The sequence below is a fragment of the Homo sapiens genome, chromosome 2 (assembly GCF_000001405.40).
Source record: "Homo sapiens chromosome 2, GRCh38.p14 Primary Assembly".
NCBI lineage: Eukaryota > Metazoa > Chordata > Mammalia > Primates > Hominidae > Homo > Homo sapiens.
The window spans coordinates 237,726,551-237,742,986 of record NC_000002.12 but is presented as its reverse complement, the minus strand read 5'-3'; the positions used below and the strand labels follow the sequence as shown (position 1 = coordinate 237,742,986).

At 46.0% G+C, this 16,436-nt stretch overlaps 1 protein-coding gene across 50 annotated transcripts in view, besides 1 other annotated feature; it reads right to left on the bottom strand.

Annotated features, from left to right (window-relative positions):
- The window catches only part of LRRFIP1 (LRR binding FLII interacting protein 1), a 154,057-nt gene that overhangs the window by 38,657 nt on the left and 98,964 nt on the right, over positions 1–16,436 (bottom strand). For 14 of the 50 annotated variants that reach the window (XM_047446295.1, XM_047446303.1, XM_047446297.1 and 11 more), the window contains one exon: positions 15,052–15,111. The exons of 31 other annotated variants lie outside the window; for them this stretch is intronic. In XM_047446295.1, coding sequence (XP_047302251.1) covers positions 15,052–15,111 — 60 coding nt within the window. Of the gene's footprint in view, positions 1–3,677; positions 3,756–7,653; positions 7,720–9,168; positions 9,214–15,051; positions 15,112–16,436 lie in introns of all 50 variants that reach the window. 5 more of the 50 variants (NM_001137550.2, XM_017005257.3, XM_017005260.3 and 2 more) reach the window with 1 other exon arrangement.
- Positions 1,987–2,281: an enhancer, noted in NCBI's record as "tiled region #7730; K562 Activating non-DNase unmatched - State 23:Low". NCBI's record gives its function as "activates a minimal TATA promoter and a strong SV40 promoter by Sharpr-MPRA in K562 cells {active_cell/tissue: K562}" and the evidence as "EXISTENCE:reporter gene assay evidence [ECO:0000049][PMID:27701403]".

Genomic DNA, 16,436 nt, shown 5'->3' with positions numbered 1-16,436 from the left:
CCTCTTTCCAGGGGAAGCACAAGAAGTTTATGTGCCCAGCTAGATGTCCCAAGCCAGGAATGAGAGCTGTGACATCTGAACCCGGGTTCTGAAACTCCCTGCCTCAGAGCACTGCCTGCTCCATATGACCTCAAGGAAGGCCAGACTGGAGGGTCATTCACCTTTGCCACCACGCTTACACCAGGCCCTGCCCAAGACCTGTTGCTCCTCCCTCCCAGGCAGAAGGACCGGGGAGTCCTATCCAGGCTCTCCTGGCTTCTTCCCATCAACAAGGCCAAACACAACCACTAGCACTTTCTGTTGTCCCAGGAGATCCAAAATATACCAGCAATGGTGTAAATGTCCCAAGACAGAAAACAGAAATGGAGTCAATTTAGTATAAGAGGACCATGAGTTTTGGAAATTATGGAAATGAGCTAGCTTAGTTCTGTCTCCCAGGCTCTCTTCAGATACCAGGGATGCTGCCTGTGCTCACCGTCTTTCTATTCTCGACACGATCAATCAAGGGATACCGTAACACATCCGCGAGGGAACTGCCCTGCACTCTACAGAGACCTCTCTGCATTCTAAGAACCACATACGGGAGGTTTCATCAGATGTAAGGCACCCAGGATGAGATGGGGGACAGCCTTGTCCCTCACTGCGGGACTGACCTTTGTTCCCTAAGCGTGCCAACCAGCCCGCAATCAACTGACCTTTGCTAGTTGAGCAATCGATTCAGGGAAGGAAGAGCAGATACAAGGAGATCACCCACCCCCATCAGGTCCCAGGACGCCCAGGAAGGCTGAACTCACATCTTTCTGTTTATGATCATCTAATAAACCTGTGAGTAAATTTTATACAAATTTAGAAAACACATGACAAAGGAATTTGTATCATTTCAGTCTCTTCGGTCAATTTCGTATGACAAAGAAATTTGTGTCATTTCAATCTCTAAGTGACTATATTGAGCCCTGTTATTTTGAGACTTCATCATATGCTTGAATAAAGACAATGCTTAACAAAATCCAATTGTCATGTCTCACTGGAACCAGGCAGAGGGTACAGAGGGCATTAAGCGTGTTTGGGATTCACTGAAAGTAAAGCCACAACATTCTTCTGTCAATTGTAAATACTTATATTTTCTTTTCTTTCTTTTTTTTCTTTTTTCTTTTTTTTTTAGACGGAGCCTTGCCTTGTTGCCCAGGCTGGAGTGCAGTGGTGCGATCTCAGCTCACTGCAACCTCCACCTCCTGTATTCAAGTGATTCTTCAGCCTCAGCCTCCCAAGTAGCTGGGATTACAGGCATGCGCCACTACACCCGGCTAATTTTTGTATTTTTAGTAGAGATGGGATTTCTCCATGTTGGCCAGGCTGGTCTCCAACTCCTGACCTCAAGTGATCCACCTGCCTCAGCCTCCCAAAGTGCTGGGATTACAGGTGTGAGCCACCGCGCCTGGCAATACTTACATTTTCTTTTCTGAAAAGTGAGTGTGAGAAGACAAAGCAATCCTACACTAAATTTATTACGGAAAATGTTTCTTCCTGGTAGTTTTAAGTGATCACATAAGTCAGCTTATGTTTATTGCTCTACTATAGAGTATGAGATAATACAGAGATCCCAACTTTAAGGAAGACACAGCCTTGGGGGCTGGCCAGGCTTACTGAGTCTGTGATCTGAAATTCCTTGTTCACAACCATTTACTTTCAGTTATTTGAATAACAGCATCAAGACCAACTTGTCAGGTTTGAAAATGGGAAATCATGTCATAATGAACAGCTGAGTATCTTCCTGTTATTGCCTGATGCACTCTGGGGAGAGATTACTGGGGGGCGGTGTGCCCCTGGAGTTTGCATGGTAGCTGCCGCCTCGCACTCCCTGCACACATTTGGCTTCTCTCACTGCTGACTGCTGGGCTCTGGGATGGGGAGGGGTGGAACACAAACTCAAATGCCTGTGAGGCCAGGTGGGCAGAGCCAAATGTGTGACAAGAGTGGGTGTCTGCAACTTATACAGAGGGGAGAGTCTTCCCCCAGAGAAAGAGGCGCTGGCGTTGCAATGCCCACCCATATTGAACTCTATTTTCCTGCTCTCCATGGCTGGATGGAGGAGATAAACATTCCTCTAGCACAGGAAAGCCATGCTGCACAGTGATGAATGGCACCTGGGCCGTGGCCTCGGGGTCACGAAAATAGTGGGTGGGGTGGAGGCTGTGCAGTTCTGCAAGGCAGCCTCAGAGTCAAGTGGCCAGAGATCCTGGGTTTTCTTCCCCCAAAGAAGCTGATACCTGCATTTGCTGATACCTGAATGCAGGTATCAGGTGCGAGGTAGGAAACCTCACAGTTTTAAAAGACTGCATCTAATTTAAAACACAAACAAACCACCAGCACCACAATAGGAAAAGCCCGCCAAAAAAGGTACATCCACGCAAGCAGGAGGTCTCAGCGCTGCGACTTCTTGGTTGATTACTAGGAACGTTACAGAAATTGTAGGGATCAGCACGCTGAAGTATGGTGTTCAGTAACTAACTTAAGAGCCACATTTTAACTTCTCGATGGCTGGGAGAAGTTTTTGTTTTTGTTTTTGTTTTCTAGAGGCAGGGTCTCACTCTGTTGTCCAGGCTGAAATGCAGTGGCACTCATAGCTCATTGCAACCTCGAACTCCTGGGCTCAAGCAATCCTCCCACCTCAACCTCCTGAGTAGCTGCGACTACAGATGCGTGCCTCCACACCTGGCTAATTTTTTTTTTTTTTTTTACTGTTTAGAGATGGGGGGTCTTGCTATGTTGGCCAAACTGATCTCCAACTCCTGGCTTCAAGAAATCCTCTTGCCTCAGCCTCCCATGACGCTGGGATTACAGATGTGAGCCACCACACCCAGCTCAGGCTGGAAATTTTGATATGAGTGGAGACGAACAGGGAAGCCTTGCCCATCTTTGCTTTTTCTCCCCAAGGTTTCTCACTGGCTCTTGAGGGTGGGAACGCTGGTCTGGTCGTGCAGCCTGGAGCTGTTTCCCCGGCCATGTGCCCACCTCCCCTCCTCCATTCCCACAAGCCCCAGTCCAAAACCGTCCTGCAAACTCTTCCTTTAAAAAGAGTCATAGGGTCGCCTTCAAGCATCACATCAGGTAAAACTGTGTCAAATTCCAACAACCCAGGGGAAAACACACAATAATGAGACTTAACAAGCTGGGGATGACCTAATAGGGCTCCTATTTTCTGAAACAAAACTTGGGCCACGCTGAGTGACAAGCAGGATGCAGGGCTGCAAATCTGCACATTTCGAAGGATCTGAGAACCAGGAGGGTAACGAATGATTGGGGCCAAACTGGGAGCGTCCCGGGATCTACAGGCCACGCTTTACCTTAAACACTGTCGGGGTCTGATCACAGGTAACACTTCAAGCAAAGCATTAACAGTCAATACTTCAAATTTTTAAATCATAAAAAGAAAACCACACATCCGTGCACATGGCTATATTATTTTCTCCCTTTGTATAAAGTTTGCCTCCTCTAAGATCCCCATCTCTAAGCACAGCTAACAATTTCTTTTACGGTCCTTGAAAAGTTGAGCAATGTAATCCTAATAATATCACCGCAGAGTAATATTCTAAATTTGGAGACGTTGGAAGAGGAGGATAAGGGAAGGGGGAGGGAGGGTGACACTGAGTAGGAGCAAGGCCAGGAGGCCGACTTACCACAGGGCTGGCCCGGGCCGAGCTGGCCCTGGAGGAGGCGCGGGAGCTGGAGTTGAGGTGGCCGCTGTACTCCGAGGGCTGCCCACACAGCCACCGCCAGGACACGCAGCCAGAAACAAAGGAACAGGGTCAGCAAAGGAGCAAGGAGAATAGAGGCCGACAGAAAACATGCTGCAGTAAGTGGTGAGGTTAGCCACGCACGGCAAGGAAAAGAGAGTTAGGGTTAGACAGCAAACGCATATTCAAATCAGTGCTCGCTAAGAATAAAAAAGCCAATCACATTATCAGAGGAACACAGAATTTCTCAGAGTTAGGAAGAAGAAAATAACACAAAGCACCCGTTCAATTGGGTGTGCAGTCACACCTAGTGTAGACACAGAAAGTCACCCCGTGGATGTGGAAATGACTGTTTTGAGAACTTAAGCTGCCTTCCGGCACAGAAACTGAAGACTTGCACAGGGCGCTTGGCGCTTTAGCAAGGGAACAAAAATTTTGCTTCTCCACTATCTTTCCAAGTGGAAGCAAAATGAGAGTTAGGGTTAATACAAAATTATGTATGGCTTTTTAAATTGCCAGATTACCTTCTACCTGGGTGGTTGCTATGTACACATCTGTCTATCCATTTACCTGAACTTTCTCACTTCTGGTAAAGGAAAATACCAGCAACTCGATTATCTGGAAGCTACGCCCTTGTAACTTTGATTTATGTTCACATCTGCTAGTCTTAGATACATTTTCACGTTATTATAAACATTCTCATATTCTTCCTGAGCAAGGCATGGTGGGGCGGGGGCAGGATTTGAACACTATTTAGGATCCCGACATGTCCTGAGGAGCATCTTCAAGAGAGACCCACGCAGCACCATATAGCAAGCCTCGCCACTGCTGAAGGCCCCTCCATTCCAGCCCCTGGACACCCTGCACTGTGCTGGGCACAGAACCCTCTGCTGGCCTCACAGGCTCTGCTGGGGACCTGCCGAAGTGCCCTGCTTGCGAATTATAAGGAAGCCCATATCTTCAGGGGTGCTCATGATCTCATCCAGATCTTCACGGGTGCTCAAGATCTCATCCAGATCTTCAGGGGTGCTCAAGATCTCATCCAGATCTTCATGGGTGCTCCAGATCTCATCCAGATCTTCAGGGGTGCTCATGATCTCATCCAGATCTTCAGGGGTGCTTGTGATCTCATATAGATCTTCAGGGGTGCTCATGATCTCATGTCAAATACCATCTCTTAGTTTGTTTCCTCACCAGGGCTAGTGACCAGATGAGGCCTGGCAAACTCAAGAAATACTTGTTGAATGAACGAATGATTTCAACTGTAGACTAAAATAACCATCAAATGTCAATTGAAAGCATTAAATGTACAGGGCTGTGGACAAGATGGGCAAGTTCCCCAGACCCATCCACCTCTATTTTATTTGATAAATGTTTACTATACACTTACACTCAGGGGCAAGACGTTGTTTCAGATTCACAGATTAATACTGCTGTGTACACAGCACATGTAAAGCATCAATGCCACATTTGAGATATACAAGAAAATCACCAGTATTACTAGCCTCACTTTTTGGCATTCTTGTTGAAAATAAGGAAAACACTTAATGTCAACACTTTAAAGCAGAAGAATTTTGCCTGAGGGTTTCCTGATGTAAGAGAGAGGAAAACTTCATCCTGCAGCAAATCCTTCTCCATCCTATGCCATTCATGCCCTGGTTTATGGTGCAAAGACACAGTGAACTGTTGTGAATAGAGCTTACTGCCCACCCCAGCTTCCCTAAGCAAAAGCAGCTCTCAAACCTTCCAACTGGACCTAATCACGCAGAAAAGAACAAAGTGAAAGTCTATATCGCCACGGTCCACGTGCACCTTATGTTTAGGAGTTATGTGGCTAATGTGCAGAAGTCAGAAAGCTTTAAGTCTGAATCATGGCTCCATCTCTTGTTGGCCACGTGGCTGTGGAAGTTCCTTAGCCCGGCATCTGTGACATGGAAGTAAGGACGTGGGCCAAATGGAGGAGCTGAGGACTAGGAAAGGGGGTACATGTTGGGCTTCTTATTTCCACTTTCTGCCAGAAACAACTTCCTCGGCTCCTGGATCAGACAATGCCACTGGTGATGACTACGTCCCAGCTTTGTCACAACACCGAAGAAAGTCACTTCACACTCAGGAGCTGCGCGGGGGCAATTCCTGGTCCTCCAGGGGCAGGGCAAATCCTCCACAGCAGGACCAGGGCTGTCTGTGCAGGCCTGGGGGAAGCCTGGACCCTGAGGTCACGACCACTTGGGGCTGGGACCTCAGGCCTGGGCGCCGGGGCCGCTCTGGACACCGTCCTGGGCCATAACCTCCCTACACGCTGGACCGAGAGCAGGGGTGGCTCTCTCCCAAGGCCCTCCTGTAAACATAAGGAACGGAGTATCCACTTGGAGGGGAACTGTGAGGGTTCCAGGGAAACGATGGCAGAGGTTGGGAGGTCAGGAACTTCTTTGTCCCTTCCGTCTTCCTCATGGTGCTAATTTCCTGCTCACAGCAGAGCTGACCATCCCTATTTTAGGCAGCTGTGCTGTCAGGACAAGATGACCTCCTGTTTTCTTAACTCTCTAAGGCCATCACTCCCAGGCAATTCTTGTGGGGGCTAAAAGCACAGAAATCACTGCTCGCAGAAGAGCAATGAAGGCCAAGGATCTAGGGCTGACGACTCCCGAAGCCCATCTCAGACGTGACACAGTAGCATCTGGAGAGCATCAGGAGCCCTCCGTCCTGCCAGATCTTAGACTCTCTACTGAAGCCACCAGAAAACCACCTGGTGCTTGGGGGAAATTTCTCTTGAATTAGTATTCTCCCTCTTTTCTGACAAAAGAAAATCATTAGTTGTGCTTTATCCATCACATCATAGGCAGGGCTATTTCATTCTTCATGCATGGTTTATGAGCTTTCTAATGGCCTATGAAAATGTTTACCAACTGGGAAAAATATGTTATATAGTGGGCTGCAAAATACTGAACAACTTATGTAATATAAAAGTTGATAAATGTGTAATCAGTTGTCGACAAAAACGAATGCTATGTCAACTACTGGATTTAATATTCATAAATTACATTTTAAAGAAAACTGTAGGTTAGACTGGCTTACACCATAAGAATTCATGAATATCCATGATGGCTGGACAAATAGCATAGTAAGTCATAAAACTGGATTTAGTCAAGTAAGTAGCTGATAAACTTCAAAAGCAAAATTATAAAAGCATTTCAAGTATTTCTTAGTAAACCTTTCTATTTCCTGGAGGGCTTGAAGACATTTTTATAGGATTGGGGAGGAGCCTCTGAATACAGGAGATCCACCGCCAGGGAGCACCGGTTAGCACTGAACGCTCCGTTTCCACAGGTCCCTGGGACACGCAAATTCGTCTCCCCACTTCCACGGGTTCCATCTCATTTTTCTACCTTGTTGCTTTTCTCACGCATTCATTCACAAATGTTTATGGTGCACCTATTACATCTTTACCCTCATAGCTGAGCCTATCATTTCAAATTGAAGAAAGAGGTAGAGAGACAACAAAATACAAACAGGGAATGAAATATGCGTAACATTCCAAGTTTTAAAATTTGTTCCTCTTCCTCAACTATCCAGGGACGAGAATGATGTGTGGTCTGTCAAGTTGTCCTTTTCCCGTTTTTATTAACCGAAGACGGTTTCACCACCTGTTAGTATGGTTGGCGTGCTGCAGAGAGAGCAGATGAAACTCAGTGCAAGTTACTCTCCCTGATGAGTGAGGACATGAAACCAACAACCAGAGGTTTCCTGATTCACATTATTTGTGACCTTCATTACAATGGAAGGTGGCGGTTAGCCCGGTGACTCGGCGCTTCCTCCTGAGAATGGCCAGTCACCCCCCACGGCTGGACCCTGCCCAGCGAGCATCCCCAGGCCATGCAGCAGGCACGGGGGAAAGGAGGTATCACCGAAAGCGCCTTACAGCACGGGAGCCGGAGGTGCTGCCCCGTCGGGTCCCACCGAAGCTGCCTTCATCCAACACAGACGCCTGCGACCAAAAGAGACTGTCAGGATGGGCGCTCTTCCTTTCTCCAAGAGTGCCCAGAAAGTGCTGAAAACGTGAGCTGTGAAAAACTGACACGTGCCAGGAGCATGACCTGAAAAAGCATGCAGGGGAGGCTGAGAACCACCTTTCCAGCTCTTCAAAGGGTTGCAGAGTGCGACAAGGAAATGAGGAGAGACCGGTTTTAGTCGTTGTCAGGAGGTGTGCAATGTAATCTCCAACAGACCATTTAAATCTATTACTTTGGAAAACATCCCAGGCCTAAGTGAAAACTTGTTAATCCAGGTTAAAATGAGCAGATAATTCGAACATCCTGAATTTTGTCATGGCATTCTCATACTTGATGCTTAGAAAATTACTCTTATGTGAAGTGACTTTGGGATAAAATATCAAATTATGTTAATTATAGTTTTAATGTTAAATATTTTATAACCCTTTAAAAGTTGCTAAGTAGAAGAAAGAGTAATTGGTTAACTGGAAAATGCTACTTAATTAATCAACGTGGGTAAACAGGAGCTTACACTGCCACAAATGGTGATGTCAAACTTTGCCCGGTATAAAGGAACTTTAATTTCCCTATTTTCCCTTGAGGACATACTAGTTTGCTCAGCCATTTATTAATATATCAAACACATAAGTATGCAATCTGATGGAAATTCAGAAAGTTATTAATGGCTGGGTGTGGTGGCTCATGCCTGTAATCCTAGCACTCTGGGAGGCCGAGGCAGGCAGATCACCTGAGGTCGGGAGTTTGAGACCAGCCTGGCCAACGTGGTGAAACCCGTCTCTACTGAAAACACAAAAAGTAACTGGGTGTGGTGACACGTGCCTGTAATCCCAGCTACCCAGGAGGCTGAGGCAGGAGACTCACTTGAACCTGGGAGGCGTAGGTTGCACTGAGCCGAGATCGTGCCCTTGCACTCCAGCCTGGGTGACAGAGGGAGATTCTGTCTCCAAAAAAAAAAAAAAAAAAAAAAAAGGTTATTAACAAGACAATATAGCTACTTTGAGTATTTACTTTACGTTTCTTGCATAGCATAAGTACTTATATTTAAAACTGGAAATTTCCAAAGTAATATAGTAACATGGATTAGTATCTGTCCAGGTTACCAAAGCATTAAAAAGCCACCATTCTTTCTGCCAATAGGTAAAGTAAACATTGCTGTTGTTCCATTCCTGCCTAACGATCCCAGCAAACACAAGGCTTCCTGGAGACAGAGCAGTGTGGCAGCTACAGTCAACAATCGGGGGAGAGAAAACCCAGATCTGGCCAAAGGGGACAGACATTCCCCACTGGCACATGTAAGCTCCACGTGAAGGTGCAACTTCCCCCAGGGGGCTGGGAACAGGCACATCCCCGGCTCTGGGCTTGGTGGGGGCGGTGCATGCACAGTGGGAGGGGGTGCGGGGCAGCAGGGTGGGCAGCACACGCACCCGGTAACTCCCCGAAGGCCGGGCAGCGCTGTACAGACAGGAGGGCTGGAGGATGAAAGCAAATGGCAGGTTTTAAAAGCCTTGAAAAAACAGCAACAAATGACAGCAAAAGGCCATCACGATAGTTTCAGCATTCACCATAGCCAACTGCTGTACAGTGGTTAAACAGAAACAAACCGATCGAGGCACCGTGTTTTCTGCAAATTTGATAGATGCAAATCCAAAATTTACAAGAAAGATAACTGAGATGATTTTTAACTTTAAAACAGTAAACTTCCCAGCATCTTTAAAACACGATCATTTCTAGTCATTTCAGGCATTCCTGGAAGAAAGGGTCAGGGGATGAGACAGAATGGTGACAAGGTCAACACAACAACAGCAACAAAACCCACAGCTCAAATCCAAGGTTAACGACACACTTGGCAGTATTCAATACGCAGATGTCCACACATGAAGACAGGAGCAGGAAGAGTCTTTATTTCTATGCCAGGGGCCCAGCGACAGTCTTCAAGACACAAAGGGAGTCACTGCAAGGCTGCCTCAGCTGGTGTGGGAGGCACCCCCAGAGGAGCCGCGGTCTAGCCCTGTCAAAGGAGAATCCTGCCTAGCACACACGTCAGGGGGAGGCAGTGCTGGTGAAGGGACAGGCTGGGACACAAGGGCAGCTCCCAGTGTCCAGAGACTGTGCCACGGGACAGAATCTGGACTCATTTCCAGGGCACACTGAGCAAGTCAGGCAAGGTGCACGGCCAGGCGGTGATCACTCAGCAGCTCCAGTCGACATGCAAGGGAGAGGGACAGTTCAACCTCCAAATAGGACGTGTACTTTCACCTCTGACACCGACTTCCTTGGATTAGAATAAGACTCGATACCTATAGCTAACAGGCCAAGCACCTCAGGGCCGGACCTGAACCTGACCTTGTAAAAACAGGAAACAGCGGGGAGACCCAGCCAAAGGAATAACACTGTTCTGTCCACTTCTCAGGGACCAAGGAGGCAGATTAGGCACAAAAACCTTCCAAATTGCTTCCTGGACACATTTACAAGAGAAAAAATATTTTTAAAAAAACAAATGAAACCCCAAATGGGGAACAATTGCTGGAAAAGGAGGAGAGACCCAAGAGACCAATTTTTTGGACTCGAGTTTTTGAAAATATGCATTTAATAAAACCCTCCTTTTCCTTAAGTCTCCTTTTCTATATAGGTTCTAACTTATTTGACATGGTTTTTCTAAAAGATTGACAAAAGTCTTAGCAAACTAGTCAAGCCAATTAAAACAGTTGCTAAGCTTTGCTCTTGTGACTTTGTGTAGAGGAGGCTGAACTATCCACTAAATGTAATCAGCAATTAAAGTGATGCACAGAAGGAAAGGGAAGGAGCGACAAAGTGATGTGAAAAGGAGACAGACCCAGCTTCCATTTGGGGCAGACAGGGGTGTGGGAGCCAGGCCACCACCGGCAAGCCCAAGGCTGGAGCCGGAGAGTCCCTGTAATCAGAGCAAATGGGCAGCAGAGAGGAGAGAGAGGCTCACACCCTCACGGCATCGCAAAGGTACATCAGTCCAGTGAGTTCAGAGACGATTACCTTATACAACCAAAACAGTAACAGGCATGCACTCACGGGGGAGGGAGAGAACGAGGGTCAGAAGGAAATAAAGACGGCTGGGCCAGGCAACTGACAAAACTAGGAGATGGGGCCAAATTAGGACTTTTGAGTTCACGCACAGAAAAAAATATTTAATTTTAGTTGATATTAAATATTGAAATAAATTTTAATTGATATTAGGAAGAGTCATCAATACTACATTCTACACTGATACCTTTCCATTATTATATTTAAATAAAATTAAACGCACCACGTACTGGGCAGCAATAGATGTCTACAGAGCACAATTTCCAGGAAGGTTCTGAGGGTGGGTGAGTACAAGAGCCCTCGGGCAGCAAATCACGGGCACACAGGGCTCAGGGCGAGTTCACATGTGGCCCTGTTTGAATGAGTCAGCTCTCATTCTGATGTTTAACCCTTTGGATGTGGGTTATTTCTCTTAAATGGACTGAAGTGAGTCAGATGCAGGCTGAACTTGGGTGAATCGTTCATATCCAAAGATGAGATATTTATTGCCATCTTTTATTTTAGAGCAAGTAACTCAGCTTATCGAAAATGAGTTGGAAATGAAGTTTTCTTAATGACTAAGTGCCCTCTGCAACAGCAAAATCTCTTGAATTAAGAAAATGCCCAAAGCCTTTTTCAAGGTGTTAAACCCACCGATGCTTTGGTGTTCACAGCTGATCATATACTGAGTCAAAATTCACATATTGGGGGACAGAAGGGCCATCAGCTTACAGTGGGGGGATTTATTACAGACTGGGGGACTATGGGAAGGGTTGAGAAAGGTGGCAAGCAGTGGGCGCCATGGAGCTGCCAGCACCTTCTGCAGTCTCCCTGGACATGAAGGGGTTGGACAAGGGGTGAAGAGGTGAGGAAGAAGTGCCCTGGCAAGAAAAAGATACCCCCCAACCCCCCGGGAGGGAAACGAGAATAGGGGCTGGAAATTGGGGACAGGGCGGGGAAGGGTCAGAGCTATTTCTTCTAGAAGCATTTTAATGAGGTCAATGATACATGGGAGTGGCTAAAGGAAATCGCAGAGGAATTGCATAGATTTCATTTTCTGATTTCAGCGTGGGAGCTGCTACTGGAGTCACCAGGTTCACGGAACAGCTCCAACAGCACCCTGTGCTCAGCCACATGGCACCTCTCCTGGGTTCTGCCCATTCTGCGCGGCCTCTGCTCTGCTCAAATGGCTACTTACCTTGAAGAGCTTCCCCTCTAGGCTCTACCTGGTTAGTTCCTATTCTTTTCATTTGTTCTATTTGTTTGTTTGTTTGTTTGTTTGTTTGTCTGAGATGGAATCTCACTCTGTCGCCCAGGCTGGAGTGCAGTGGTGCAATCTTGGCTCACTGCAACCTCTGCTTCCTGGGTTCAAGCGATTCTCCTGCCTCAGCCCCCCGAGTAGCTGGGACTACAGGCATGTGCCACCGCACCTAGCTAATTTTTTATATTTTTAGTAGAGACGGGGTTTCATCGTGTTAGCCAGGATGGTCTCTATCTCCTGACCTCATGGTCTGCCCACCTCGGCCTCCCGAAGTGCTGGGATTTATAGGTGTGAGCCACCACACCTGGCCCTTCCTATTTATTAAGGTTCAGCTCACATCTTTTTTCCTGGCAAAACCAGTGTCTCCCTCCCATTCTATCTACTCATCTGTTCACTCCTGTACTGGTCTCCGGTGCCGGTGGCTTCTGTTCTAGATGTCAGTGCCTGGAGAGCACCCACCTCCTCTGCTTAGCTTTGTGATCCCAGGGCCTGCTTGATTTTCCTACCTAAACTAGTCCCAATTTTGCTGAGTAAATGTGAACCTAAACAAACACCAACAAGCCTTAGCAATTTTAGGGCTCTTAAACAATTTAGAAATTATGTTTATCAAGACCGATGCATGTTTGTAGAGAATGGGAAGGAACTCTGTTGTGTAAACATGTGGATTTGGATGAGACTCTGGATTTTCCTTCCAAGTCTAGTCCATGCCCAAGAAACCACCACAAAGTTTGCATGTACTCTTCAAAGTAGTTCTGTTTTCAGAAACTCTCAAGAATTCAAGAGCATTCTTCTAATTATTTTTTTCCTTTTGATTAATTCTAATTAGAAAATATACACAAAAACACGTCCTTTCATTGCAGCCAGCTGAATGCCACAATTCACATTCGAGCTGGTGTGGTCAAACGCAGCACACTGGAGTACATCTGAATGAAGGAGCTCATGTTAACTGCTGCTTTTCACGTCAATAACACAGCTACCCAAACAAAAATCCGTCAAACAGACACCGAAAGAGAAAAGTAGAGCTGAATCCACACACACAAGATTGCATGCTACAAAATCTGCGGTTTCTGAAGAGAATGTGAAAGATTTAAATGGAAACCAACCAACTTCTCCTCCCTGGATGATGACAAAGTAGAGAATCTGCTGTCACCGCTGTAGCTGGAATTCTGAGCACCAAAGAAGAAAACACGTTTAAGTGACAAGCACTTCCTTACGACTCCAAAAGCACCCCCATCCCATTCAAAAGGCGAACATGGAACAGCACAACCGAGCCAACACTAGGAGCCCAGGAACGCTAGTTTATCTAAAGACGCGAGGCACAAACAGTACAGCAGAGATTCTTAACAACTGGAGATTCTAAGCTGTATTTTCACCTTCAGTGTTTGTGTCTTGGTGATGCCAGGGGTGTATCTAGTACTGCTTTTCACAATCTCATATCCCTAGCACGATTCGTAATTACTGAGTTTCACACTGCGTTGTCAGTAAACTCCTTGTCTTATCTCCTTGGGTAACTAAAATTCCATTTATTGCAAAATTTTCAATCTTTCTTCAGCCCAGCCCGCCTGCGGGCTATAGCTCAGCCCTGGGGTGCCAGAAAGGTGGGTGGAGTGTGACAGCCTGCTGCCACCCGTCCACTGGAGAGCCCTTATCCACAGAGTGCAAATGCCCTGAAGGCCATCTTTACGTGTCTTGAGTATACATTTTTAAAATGTCGCATCCAGCCGGGTGCCATGGCTCATGCCTGTAATCCCAGCATTTTGGGAGGCCGAGGTGCGCAGATCACCTGAGGTCAGGAGTTCGAGACCAGCCTGGCCAGCAGGGTGAAACTCCATCTCTACTAAAAAATACAAAAAAAATTAGCCAGGTGTGGTAGTGGATGCCTGTAATCCAAGCTACTTGGGAGGCTGAGGCAGGAGAATCGCTCGAACCCAGGAGGCAGAGGTTGCAGTGAGCTGAGATAGCACCACTGCACTCCAGCCTGGGTGAGGGCACGAGACTTTGTCTCAAAAAATAAATAATTAAAGTGCATGCAATGCTAAATAGGTAAATAGGAATGAGCAAGTAAAAACAACTTGATCAGCTGGTTTCAGAAAGCTAAAGACGGCTTTGGTCGGGGAGAGGGAAGAAGGTCTGGGTGGGGTCACTCATTTGAAGCCCAAAAGTATAATTTAAGCATACACATGATATCTTAATATAACATAATTAAGATAAATGAAAAGAAATACTATTTTACACAATTAGGAATATTACTAAAAGAAAAAAATGAAGCATGAGAACAGGAAATTTTTAGACCATTTCACACAGAATGGACCTGTGGGATATCGTGAAGCTTAATGGAAATGTATCCAGTGTAACCTTCTAAAATCCCCAATGACCTCCTGTCCTTGATTAATCCAAAGCCCTCCCCACCCCCGCCCGGTCTCCCTAATGCCCCTGCCACTGGCACCACTCCCTCTCTCTCCCCCTAGAGCAGCACCCTTTCCTTCCACCAGCTCCTTCCTGCCTCCCACCCCTTAACTGGGAGCCTTCCAAGCATCTGCATTGTTTTATTCTCCTTTTCCTCTCCAGAAAAACACAGGTGCTTGTACACATGCCTTTAAGGTAAACATTAAAATTACAAATGACAGATGTGGAGACTGCGAAAATGTTGGATTTAGTATCTTTGAAAGCTGAATATACTTAATACACACATTATATACATACACCCAGGGGAATACAGTAATGAAAGAGTTAATCTTTAATTTCAGATCTTTTAAAACTTGAGATTCTTATCAATATCTACCCCTTATACTAACAATCAGAATGTTGGAGGGCTAACATTCTCAGAATGTTTGCTAGTTGAAAAACATTATCTTTCATTCCATCATGTGCTAGGAAAAAAAAGACAGACCGATTTTAAAATTTAAAAACAGCAAAGAAGCTAAATTTAAATTTAGCAATTAGTTTTTAGTTCTAGAAGCTTTGAAACAACCTATTTGAATTTTGAGCCATGCAAATTTACTATACTAACCCTGCCAGATCTTCTATTCAGGGACTGTGATCCATACAATTCTCCATCATAACCATTTGTCTGTTTCAATGAAGAAAAGAGAAAAACTGACATCAGTACACAAATGAATTCACAGGTACAAATCAGCAGGGACCAACCAGCCAGGTATAAGGTGACCTTTCTTGTGGAGCGGATGAATGACCAGTCCAGGACAGTACAAGTCCTGGCAGCTCCCAAACTGCATCCCTGCCGCCGTCTGCTCCCCCGCAGCTCAGGAGGGAACAGCAGTCAAGCTAACCAAGTCAGTAGGCTTCATGTCACATGCCACTCTTAGTTTTAAAGTGGCACCAAGTCCCTCCACGGGGTGGAACATTTGGGCTTGGTGTGGCCATTTCCTTGTCAGGCTGTTTCTGGTTTTATGGTGGCTCTGTGGACATTCTGCTTGCAAGAAGCCACATGCCAGGCCGATGGGTAGTGATTCAGCCTGAGTCAATGAGTTTTCAGTTCCTGGTTCAGGGTCTTTGAAAATTATGGCACATTGTGATGCTATGGGCCATAATTCAGAAGATTCAGAGATCATTTCTTTTTTTTTTTTTTTTTTGAGACAGAGTCTCGCTCTGTCGCCCAGGCTAGAATGCAGTAGTGTGAGCTCAGCTCACTGCAACCTCTGCCTCCCTGGTTCAAGTGATTCTCCTGCCTCAGCCTCCTGAGTAGCTGGGATTACAGGCGTGCGTCACCACGCCCGGCTAATTTTTGCATTTTTAGTAGAGACGGGGTTTCATCATGTTGGTCAGGCTGGTCTCGAACTCCTGACCTCGTGATCCGCCCGCCTTGGCCTCCCAAAGTGCTGGGATTACAGGCGTGAGCCATCGCGCCCGGCCTCAGAAATTATTTCTAGTCAATCTATAGTTAAACGCAAAAGTTCATCGTGGGGTATATCCTCTATACTAGTTTTTTATTCATCCAGCCCTCCTACTTTATTTTTCAAAATGAAATTTGAACACATATTTAATAATTTCATAATGTGTCCTCCAGAATAAAGGAGAATGATTCTACTAAGTGCATGCCTATCATCCCTCTCTTCTCAGTTCCCAGCCCAGGTTCCCTTAAGTCAAAGCATGGGCTTTCTAAATGTCCCTTAATTCATCTATAAGGAAATTTCTGCTGATTCAAAATAGAGCTGTCAAGCATCAGAGACAAAACCAGCTCTCGGGACAGAAAAAGGAGGAGCAGTCTACACAACTGGTAAAAATGGAAGGAGACGCCATCAGGTCCTGGGCATGAGTCCAAATTCCACAAAGAAGCTCCGTCATGTGACCTTAAGTAATTATTTAATGCACTTGAACATCTGTTTTCTCAGCCGTGAAAATGTGCATAATAATAAATACATTACAAAGCCATCGTGA